This window comes from Homo sapiens, chromosome 9, assembly GCF_000001405.40.
Source record: "Homo sapiens chromosome 9, GRCh38.p14 Primary Assembly".
NCBI classification, from domain to species: domain Eukaryota; kingdom Metazoa; phylum Chordata; class Mammalia; order Primates; family Hominidae; genus Homo; species Homo sapiens.
In genome coordinates, this window is record NC_000009.12 from 88,323,897 (window position 1) to 88,335,742 (window position 11,846).

An 11,846-nucleotide genomic window follows, 5' to 3' on the forward strand; every position below is an offset into this window, starting at 1 on the left:
AAAAAGAACATAAAACAAAGAACATGAAAGAACAGAACTTCTTTGATCAGCATCCCCAGAGAGATTTTAGAAAATATTCCATCCATAAAACAATAAAACAAGAACATGACACAGTGAAAAATAAGCCCTGTGAGAAGAACCACAGTAAAAGCCTCTGGAAATTAAAATTATGGTTCACAAAATGTAAAATAATAAATATGGGTGGACAATAATGTTTAGGAGGTCACAGAGAATAAAGAGAACAGGAAACAGAAAATAGGCCAGAAACAATAAGAGATATAGATGATTAATACAGAGGTACAACACCTACCCAGTAGGAATTCCAGAAAGAGGAAAAGAAGGAAAGAAGAGGCTGGGCGTGGTGGCTCACGCCTGTAATCCCAACACTTTGGGAGGCGGAGGACGGCAGATCACGAGGTCAGGAGTTCACAACCAGCCTGGCCAACATGGTGAAACCCCGTCTCTACTGAAAATACAAAAATTATTTCTGCGCTACCCACAGAGGGGTCCATACGGCGTTCTGGATTCCCATCGTAACTTCAAGGAAAACTTTCACAATGTGCGGAGCCCTTGATGTCCTGCAAATGAAGAAGAAGGATGTCCTTAAGTTCCTTGCAGCAGGAACCCACTTAGGTGGCACCAATCTTGACTTCCAGATGAAACAGTACATCTATAAAAGGAAAAGTTATGGCACCTACATCACAAATCTGAAGAGGACCTGGGAGAAGCTTCTGCTGGCAGCTCATGCCATTGTTGCCATTGAATACCCTGCTGATGTCAGTGTCATATTCTCCAGGAATACTGGCCAGAGGGCCGTGCTGAAGTTTGCTGCTGCCACTGGAGCCACTCCAATTGCTGGCCGCTTCACTCCTGCAACCTTCACTAACCAGATCCAGGCAACCTTCCGGGAGCCACGGCTTCTTGTGGTTACCGACCCCAGGGCTGACCACCAGCCTCTCACGGAGGCATCTTATGTTAACCTACCTACCATCGCTCTGTGTAACACAGATTCTCCTCTGCACTGTGTGGACATTGCCATCCCATGCAACAACAAGGGAGCTCCCTCAGTGGGTCAGATATGGTGGATGCCAGCTCGGGAAGTTCTGCACATGCGTGGCACCATTTCCTGTGAACACCCGTGGGAGGTCATGCCTGATCTCTACTTCTACAGAGATCCTGAAGAGATTGAAAAAGAAGAGCAGGCTGCTGCTGAAAAGGCTGTGACCAAGGAGGAATTTCAGGGTGAGTGGACTGCTCTAGCTCCTGAGTTCACTGCTACTCAGCCTGAGATTGCAGACTGGTTTGAAGGTATGCAGGTGCCCTCTGTGCCTATTCACAGTTCCCTACTAAAGACTGGAGTGCTCAGCCTGCCACGGAAGTCTAGTCTGCAGCTCCCACTGCTCAGGCCACTGAGTGGGTAGCAGCAACCACTGATTGGTCTTAAGCACTTCTTGCACAGGCCCTTAAGCAACATGGAAATAAAGTTGATGGAAAATAAACATCAGTTTCCAAAAAAAAAAAAAAAAAAGTAAAGAAGAGAGACAGAAAGAAAGAAACAGAACATAAAATGAAGGATAGAAAATTATAAAATAAATAGTCCCGGCTCAGTGGCTCAAGCCTGTAATCCCAGCACTTTGGGAGGCTGAGGCAGGCAGATCACCTGAGGTCGGGAGTTCGAGACCGGACTGGCCAACATGGTGAAACCCCCGTCTCTATTAAAAATACAAAAACTAGCCAAGCCTAGTGGTGCACACCTGTAATCCCAGCTTCTCAGGAGGCTGAGGCAGGAGAATCGCTTGAACCTGGGAGGTGGAGATTGCAGTGAACCGAATTCGTGCCACAGCACTCCAGACTGGATGATAAGAGTAAGACTCTGTCAAAAAAAAAAAAAAAAGAAAGAAAGAAAAGGAAAGAAAATTTAAAAATAAATAATTAACTTTTCTGAAGAAAGCTAATGAAGAAAGACACAATCTTCAGATTGAAAGAGGCATTGGACCAGGCATGGTGGCTCACAACTGTAATCCCAGCTACTTAAGAGACCAAGATGGGAGGATCACTTGAGGACAGGAGTTTGAGGCCAGCTTGGCCAACATAGCGAATCCCTTGTTTCAAACAAACAAACAAAAAAGAATGAAAGAGGCATTGAGAGTATGAATTACTACAACCACTTTGAAGAACATCTTGATGATAATTCATGGAGCTGACTGTCCCTAGGCTCAGTAATTTTCCTGTCAGGTTCATTCCCTGGGGGCAGAGCTTACCGACTTGGAGCTCTTCGTGTGCTGTGAGATGAATGCAGACCTGCCGGGTTTAGAGTCTCAGTCCTCAGGATGTCTGAGCAGGGCCAGGAGCAGCTGGAACAGCCAGGGATCGGCCCCTCCTGCTGGGAGCAGCTCCTCCGTCCACTGATTCCTGTGTGCCACACCATGCGGTGCCACGTCCACTGTGCACCGTCATGCGACAAGACTGGGAAGTGCTTCCCTAGAAAGACACTACACTAAGCACATAAGATGTAGGCAATTAATTGCAGCATTGTTTGTGGGAGCAAAATAAATGGGAATAGCCTAAATGTCTACCAGTGGAAAGTGGATTAAACAATAACACGCTGAGAAGCCTTCAGGTCGGTGAACACATGGATGGGTCTGCAGGGCGGTGCCCTGGAGAAAGCATGGAGCCCTCGCCCTCCCCCAGACCTGGCCCTATGTATCTCTTCATCTGACTGTTCCTGAGTTGTATCCTTTATAATAAACCCACAATCTAGTAAATAGACCATTTTCCTAAATTCTGTAAGCCATTCTAGCAAATTGTCAAGCCCAAGAAGGGGGTCTTAGGAATGCTGGATGTATAGCTTGTTTGTCAGAAATACAGGCAATACTTAGATTTGAAATTGGCAGCGGAAGCTGAGGGTGGGGCAGTCTTGTGGGACACAGCCCTTAACCTGTGGGATTTGATGCTATCTCAGATAGATGTTGTCAGAATTGAGTTAAATTGTAGGACACCCATTTGGTGTCTTCCAAGGACCTGAATTGAATTTGTTGTAGGCAAACAACTCACACATTTGGTCACAGAAGTGTTCTAAAGTTGAGAGAAAAAAGTAGGTTTTTTCCTATACATTTGATGTTAGAGAATGGATTTCTAGGGATTTGCTAGAACAGCCCTGACTCATGGAAACAAGTGGTTTGGAAAGAGAAAGGATGAAAGGATGAGAGATCAGGAACCTTTGATCCCTGGATGGCTACGTGGTCACCCAAGGTATGAAAGTGCAGCTGGGCTGCATTCAGTGACCAAAGGTAAAAGTTACCCATGGAATTTGGAGATGGTATTAGACCCAACTCTTGAGTTGGCCCTTTGGGTACATAAGGAAATGCAAAATAATCAGAAGCATGCTAAACATACAATTCCGAGGGTACTGTGAGAATGTAATAGCTAAAATGAAATTAAAAGAGAGTGCTGGCTTGGACCTTGAGGCTAGACCAAACTCAGATGTGGGTTAGTCCAAGCTTCAGCCACTAGCCTCAAAGCCACCCCCAAAAGAAAAAGTACTTCTGGCTGGGGGCGGTGGCTCACACTTGTAATCCCAGCACTTTGGGAGGCTGAGGCGGGCAGATCACAAGGTCAAGAGATTGAGACCATCATGGCCAACATGGTGAAACCCTGTCTCTACTAAAACTACAAAAATTAGCTGGGTGTGGTGGCGTGCGCCTGTAATCCCGGCTACTTGGGAAGCTGAGGCAGGAGAATCACTTGAACCTGGGAGGCGGAGGTTGCAGTGAGCCGAGATCACGCCACTGCACTCTGGCCTGGCGACAGAGAGAGACCTTGTCTCAAAAAAAAAAAAAAGAAAAAGTACTTCCAAGACCTCTGCTCACCAACAAGGTTGTCCATGTGACAGGATGGCAAAACTAAGAAAGGACTACAGCCAGGGGTACGGAGTGAAGGAGTTGTTTCATTCTGTGAATCAGTCCACCAGCTTCCTGAGGAGACTTTACTAAAGTGGATTGTGAGAGTAACTCTTTTAGGGGCAGTATTTTTGGTTTTAAATGCCACAGAGTAGAAGAGCAGTTTAGGCTGATACAGTTCACTATGAAACAATCACCAATGACTATACGTGATCCAGACACACAAAGGAAATTCCCTAGGGAACAGCCAGCCTGGTGGACTGAGTAAAGCCACTGAAAGGTCTGTTTACCACCAGACTCCACCTTGATGCTAAGTGGAGCCCTGCAGATGAAGCAGCTGAAATGCTTTGTATGCAAGCCCTGTGGGACTGGCTTTATGATGACTGGAATATTCACCCACCAAATATGCCTGTTACCCAGGTCATGGTAAATGCTGTGGTTAAGGGGGCTCCTTTTGCATGGGTGTAGCATGTGACATTACTTCTGCAGAATCAGAGGACAATCCACAAATCCTTATCAGATAATCTGTCTCAGCTTCCCTGTATAGGTCTTACTGATACCAACGACATTAAAGTGATTTAATGGCCGGGTGCGGTGGCTCACACCTGTAATCCCAGCACTTTGGGAGGCTGAGGTGGGAGTTTGAGATCAGCCTGGGCAACACAGTGAAACCCTGTCTCTACCAAAAAAAAAAATACAAAAAATTAGCTGGGTGTGGTGGCATACCCCTGTAGTTGCAACTACTTGGGGTGCTGAGGTGGGAAGATTGAAAGAAAGAAAGAGAGGGAGGGAGGGAGGGAGGGAAGGAAGGAAGGAAGGGAAGGAGGGAAGGAAAAAAAGAAAGAGAAAGAAAGAGAGAGAGAGGAAGGAAGGGGGGGAGACAGAGAAAGAAGAAAGAAAGAAAGAAAGAGAAAGAAAGGAAGAAAGAAGGAAAGAAAAGAAAATGGAGAGACAGAGGCAAGAGTCAAGAAATTTGTCCCAGCAGGTGGAAGACTTTGGATGAAAAATGGGATGAATGTGACAAACACTGACGGTGCTAAACAAAGGTGTTGATGCAGCACTATCAAAACCAATGGGACCTCCTACTCATACCCTACCTTAAATGGCCCTGTCTTCAGGGCCGGGCGTGGTGGCTCACGCCTGTAATCCCAGCACTTTGGGAGGCCAAGGTGGGTGGATCATCTGAGGTAGGGAGTTCGATACCAGCCTGACCAACAAGGAGAAACCCCGTCTCTACTAAAAATACAAAATTAGCCAGGCCTGGTGGCGCATGCTTGTAATCCCAGGTACTTGGGAGGCTGAGGCAGGAGAATCATTTGAATCTGGGAGGCGGAGTTGGCAGTGAACCAAGATGGCGCCATTGCACTCCAGCCTGGGCAGCAAGAGTGAAACATCATCTCACACACACACACAAAAGGGCCTTGTCTTTGTTTGTTCTGCTCTAAGGGTGTCTACAATGAGTCAAAAATCTGTAAAATATTTGAAGATAGTTACTCTGAGGCGAATATGAGTGACCAATGGCCCACGACACAGCCCTTAGGAGACCCTGAGAGCGTGTGCCCAAGGTGGTCAAGGCACAACCTAGTTTTACACATTTAAGGGAGACATGAGACATCAATCAAATACATGTAGGATATGCATTGGTTCAGTCTGGAAAGGCAGGACAAGTGGTTGAAAGAGTTAAGTTATTATCTAACGACCTGGAATGAATAGAAAGGAATGTTTGATAAAGGAATGATAAGGGGTTGTAGAGACCAAAGTTGTACCATGCAGATAAAGCCTCCAGGTAGCAGGCTTCAGTGAGAACAGACTGTAAAGGTTTCTTATTATACTTAAGATCTGTGTTGATCTTAAATGCTGGTCAGCTTTTCCTGAATCCCAAAAGACGGCAGGGTGAGGGTGTAATGAGGTATGTTCAACCCTCCCTTCCTGTCATGGCCTGAGACAACTTTGGAAAGTCCTTGGCTGAAAGGAAGGGTCCATTCAGATGGTTGGCGGGAGGGGTGGGGAGGCTTAGAATTTTGCTTTTGGTTTACAATAGAATACCACAGACTAGTTAATTTATAAAGAACAAAATTGGCTCACGTCTGTAATCCCAGCACTTTGGGAGGCAGAGGCAGGTGGCACCTGAGGTCAGGAGTTCGAGACCAGCCTGGCCAACGTGGTAGAACCCTATCTCTACCAAATATACAAAAAATTAGCCAGGCGTGGTGGTGGGCACCTGTAATCCCAGCTACTCGGGAGGCTGAGGCAGGAGAATTGCTTGAACCTGAGAGGTGGAAGTTGCAGTGAGCCGAGATGGCGCCATTGCACTCCAGCCTGGGCAACAAGAGCAAAATTCTGTCTAAAAAAAAACAAAAACAAAAACAAAACAGAACAAAATTGAATTTCATACAGTTCTGGAGGTTGAGAAGTCCAAGTTCAAGGGGCTGCATCTTGTGAGGGCCTCCTTGCTGCTTCATCCCATGGCAGAAGGTGGAAGAGCAAGAGAGTACCCAGGAGCAAGCAAGGGGAAGCAGGCTGGACTCATTCTTTTATCAGGAGCCCATTCCTGCAATAACAGCATTCATCCATTCATAAAGGCAGAGCCCTCATGACCTAATCACCTCTTATGGGTTCCACCTCCCAACGCTGCTGCATTGAGGATTAAGTTTCCAACACATAAATTTTGGGGAACACATTCACAACATAGCACAGTCAAATCAATAATTTTTATAAAACTCAAGACTGAAACCTATCTGATATTGTTTGGACTTGTGTCCCCGCCCGAATCTCATGCAAATTGTAATCCCCAGTGTGAGAGGAGGGGCCTGGTGAGAGGTGATTGGACTGTTGGGGCAGACATTCCCCCTTGCTATTCTGGTGATAGTGAGTTCTCACGAGATTTGGTTGTCTAAAAGTGTGTAGCACCTCCCCTGTCGTCCGTTTCCTCCTGCTCCAGCCATGTAGGTCATGCCTGCTTCCCTTTCACCTTCTGCCATGATTGTAAGTTTCCTGAGGCCTCCCCAGCCATGCTCACTATAGAGCCTGCAGAACCATGAGCCAATTCAACCTCTTTTCTTTATAAATTACCCAGTCTCAGGTAGTTCTTTATAGCAATGCAAGAATGAACTAATACACTACCCAGTCATTCGTTGCACAAATATGGATGAATATGGGTTGAAATACTTTGCTGGAGGGGGAGCATGCCCGATCCATGCGCCATGGAGCTTTGATGCAGGGCCAAGCTTGTGATAGATGGCTGGAATGTGAAGTCAAGAGAGCTCTAGGCACCCACCAGGAAGGTCTGGCCCTGCCTGGGCATCAAAAAAAGCTGCCTTGATAAAGTGGTGGTTACGCTGAGGTCTAAAGGACTAACAGGGCTAAGAAGGGGAAGAGGAGCAAAAGGCCATTCCAGGTGTCCTGAAAGCACTTGCAGCTTTTTTTTTTTTTTTTTTTTTTTTTGAGACGGAGTTTCGCTCTTTTTGCCCAGGCTGGAGTGCAATGGTGCGATCTCGGCTCACTGCAACCTCCGCCTCCCAGGTTCAAGCGATTCTCCTGCCTCAGCCTCCCAAGTAGCTGGCATTACAGGCATGCACCACCACCCAGGCTAATTTTGTATTTTTAGTAGACACGGGGTTTCTCCATGTTGGTCAGGCTGGTCTTGAACTCCTGATCTCAGGTGTTCCACCCACCTCTGCCTCCCAAAGTGCTGGGATTACAGGCGCGAGCCACCGCGCCCGGCCAGCACTTGTAGCTTAAAAAAAAAAACCATTTCTGAGAAGCTAACTCTGGGATATGAAGCCAGAAGAGAAGTTATTGAATAAAATGAGAAACTGGCCGGCAAGGTGGCTCACTCCTGTAATCCCAGTACTTTGGGAGGCCGAGGCAGGCGGATCACTTGAGGCCAGGAGTTCAAGACCAGCCTGGCCAACATAGTGAAAACCGTCTCTACTAAAAATACAAAAATTAACCAAGCACGGTGTTGGGCGCCTGTAATCCCAGCTACTCAAGAGGCTGAGGCAGGAGAATCGCTTGAACCTGGGAGGCAGAGATTGCAGTGAGCCGAGATCACGCCACTGCACTCCAACCTGGGCAACAGAGCAAGACCCTGTCTCAAGAAGAAAAAAAAAAGAAATTTTTGATTATGAATAGGCACATTGTCAGACTACTCAAGAATTAGTGATGCCATTTCCATGCCTTAGAAGAGATTTATTCACAGGATCCTGGGCACAGCATGCGGATTGGGTTTCATCCCCACAGTGAGCAATCTGGTAGATTCCACACTTCTACTATCCTGAAGGTTACGTTTTATCTAAGATTGGTACTCTTTTTGTAATTGCTAAAACACAATATTCAACTGCTTTTGAGTAGCTAGGTAGCTTCATACAAGATAAATTTCCTCTATCTCAATAAACAGACTGAATTTTATATCGTTTGGAAATGTTTTTGCCCCAAGATTCTATGGACATTTTTGTCACATGCGTCCGGGTGAAGACACCACCAAACAGGCTTTGTGTGAGTAACAAGGCTGTTTATTTCACCTGGGTGCAGACGGGCTGAGTCCGAAAGGAGAGTCAGCAAAGGGTGGTGGGATTATCATTGGTTCTTTTTCTTTTTTGGAGATGGAGTCTCGCTCTGTCACCCAGGCTGGAGTGCACTGGCGCAGTCTCAGCTCACTGCAAGCTCCGCCTCCCGGGTTCACGCCATTCTCCTGTCTCACCCTCCCGAGTAGCTGGGACTACAGGCACCCGCCACCACGCCCAGCTAAATTTTTGTATTTTTACTAGAGACGGGGTTTCACTGTGTTAGCCAGGATGGTCTCGATCTTCTGAACTCGTGATCTGGCTGCCTCGGCCTCCCAAAGTGCTGGGATTACAGGCCTGAGCCATCGTGCCCCCCTGATTATCATTAGTTCTTATAGGTTTTGGGATAGGTGGTGGGGTTAGGAGCAATGTTTTGTGGGCAGGGGGTGGATCTCACAAAGTACATTCTCAAGGGTGGGGAGAATTACAAAGAACCTTCTTAAGGGTGGGGGAGATTACAAAGTACATTGATCAGTTAGGGTGGGGCAGGAACAAATCACAGTGTAGGAATGTCATCAGTTAAGGCTATTTTCACTTCTTTTGTGGATCTTCAGTTGCTTCAGGCCATCTGGAGCATATCCTGCAGGTCACAGGGGATATGATGGCTTAGCTTGGGCTCAGAGGCCTGACAATTTTTTTCTCAGAATTTAGAATGTTAACTACAGGAGAAGTTAGAAGCTTTTTATTGCCAAAGAAATATTTTATAATATCTTTTATTTGAATGTATTATTTTATTACAGATGTGCCCATTTGATTTTTGCTGTTTACAGTGACGAGTATATCAGAGTACAAAATTATAATTTTTTTTCTTTTTTGAGACGGAGTCTTGCTCTGTCACCCAGGCTGGAGTGCAGTGGCACAATCTCAGCTCACTGCAAGCTCTGCCTCCCAGGTTCACGCCATTCTCCTGCCTCAGCCTCCCGAGTAGCTGGGGCTACAGGCACCCACCACCAGGCCCAGCTAATTTTTTTGTATTTTTACTAGAGACGGGGTTTCACTGTGTTAGCCAGGATGGTCTCGATCTTCTGACCTCGTGATCTGGCTGCTTCGGCCTCCCGAAGTGCTGGGATTACAGGCCTGAGCCACCGTGCCTGGCTGATTATCATTAGTTCTTATAGGTTTTGGGATAGGAGGTGGAGTTAGGAGCAATGTTTTGCAGGCAGGGGGCGGATCTCCTGAGGTCAGGAATTCGAGACCAGCCTGGCCAGGGTGGTCAGGAGTGGTGGCAGGCGCCTGTAGTCCCAGCTACTCGGGAGGCTGAGACAGGAGAATCGTTTGAACCTGGTAGGCGGAGGTTGCAGTGAGCCGAGATCACACCATTGTACTCCAGCATGGGCAACAGAGTGAGACTCCGTCTCAAAAAAAAAAAAAAGCCAGTGGTTATTGTTTGTTCGAACTATATCTGTCCATCTTATGGAACTTTCCTGTTAGTTCCACTAGTTTTTCCGTTATATAAAATGCATAAATAACCGTCATGCATTTTGTGTGTAAGACAGTCATCTATTTTATTATTCATACTCCCTGGTTTTTTCCCTCCTATTGCATTAAGCCAGCACTTTGGGAGACCTAGGTGGGTGGATCACCTGAGGTCAGGAGTTCAAGACCAGCCTGGCCAACATGGTGAAACCCCGTCTCTACTAAAAATACAAAAATTAGCCAGGTGTGGTGTCAGGCACTTCTAATCCCAGCTACTCAGGAGGCTGAGGCACAATAATCTCTTTAACCTGGGAAGCGCAGGTTGCAATTAGCCAATATTGTGCCCCTGCACTCCAGCCTGGGCAACAGTGCAAGACTCTGTCTCAGCAACAACAATTAGCGGGGCGTGGTAGCACATGCCTGTAATCCCAGCTACTCCGGAGGCCGAGGCAGAATTGCTTGAACCTGGGAGGCAGAGGTTGCAGTGAGCCGAGATCTCACCTCTGCTTTCCAGCCTAGGCGACAAGAGCAAAACTCTGTCTCAAAAAGAAAAGAAAAGAAAAGAAAATAGGCCTGCTGCGGTGGCTCATGTCTGTAATCCCAGCACTTTGGGAGGCCAAGGCAGGCTAATCTATTGAGTCTAGGAGTTTGAGACCCGGCTGGGCAACATAGTGAGGCCCCTACCCTTACAAACAATAAACAAAATTAGCCAGGCATAGTGGCATGCACCTCACCTGTGGTCCCAGAAACTCAGGAAGCTGAAGTGGGAGGATTGCTTGAACCTGGGAGGTCAAGGCTGCAGTCAGCCAAGATCACACCACTACACTCCAGCCTAGGCAAGACCCTGCCCTCTAGCCTGGGAAAGACCTGTCTCAAAAAAAAAAAAAAAAAAAAAAAGAAAGAAAGAAAAGAAAAGAAAAAAGAAAATGAAGGAAAGAAAATCTGCCAGGAAAATGTTGAAGGAGAGGAAGAATGAGAGCACACAATCCTATCACAAGTCAAAGTAGCCAACGGCATTGAAACGAAAATTAGTGGCTTTCGCACTGATGGAGGCAACTCAACAAATGGGAGTTTAGTACATGACAAAGGTCACAGTAATTTTTTATTTATTGTTGGTTTTAAAGCCAGGCTCTTGCTCTGTTGCCCAGGCCTTGACCTCATGTGCTCAAGCAAATCTCCCACCTCAGCCACTGAGTAGATTATAGGTGCACACCACCATGCCCAACTAATTTTGTTTATTTCTTATAGAGACAGGGTCTCACTATGTTGCCCAAGCTGGTCTCGAACTCCTGAGCTCAAGAAATCCTCCCACCTCGCTCTCCCAAAGCGTTGGGATTACAGGCATGAGCCACCACAGAATGGATTATTTTTAAAATAATAGTGTTGAAACAATGATCTCTGTGGAAAAACTGCAATATTTTCCTCAGATCACACACCCTTAAAATTTATTTTATTGATTAAGGTCCTAGATGTAAGCATATTACAAAAGCACTGAAAGAAACCAAGGGAGTATATTTCTCTTTCCTTCCTTCCTTACTTCCTTCCTTCCTTTTTTTGAGATGGAGTCTCGCTCTGTCGCCCAGGCTGGAGTGCAATGGTGCGATCTCGGCTCACTGCAACCTCAGCCTCCCAGGTTCAAGTGATTCTCCTGCCTCAGCCTCCCGAATAGCTGGGACTACAGACACACGCCACCACGCCCAGCTAATTTTTGTATTTTTAGTAAAGATGGGGTTTCACCATGTTGGCCAAGATGGTCTCGATTTCTTGACCTCGTGATCCACCTGCCTCAGCCTCCCAAAGTGCTGGGATTACAGGCATGAGCCACAGTGCCTAGCCCCAAGGGAGTATATTTCTATAAGTCTTAGATGGTAAAGTATTTACTAATTAGGACATGAAATACACAAGTTATAAAGAAAATAAACTGGCCGGGCACGGTGGCTCACACCTGTAATCCCAGCACTTTTGA

At 46.5% G+C, this 11,846-nt stretch overlaps 1 pseudogene; it reads left to right on the top strand.

The window, feature by feature from the left end:
* RPSAP49 (ribosomal protein SA pseudogene 49) lies at nucleotides 485–1,514 on the top strand (annotated as a pseudogene).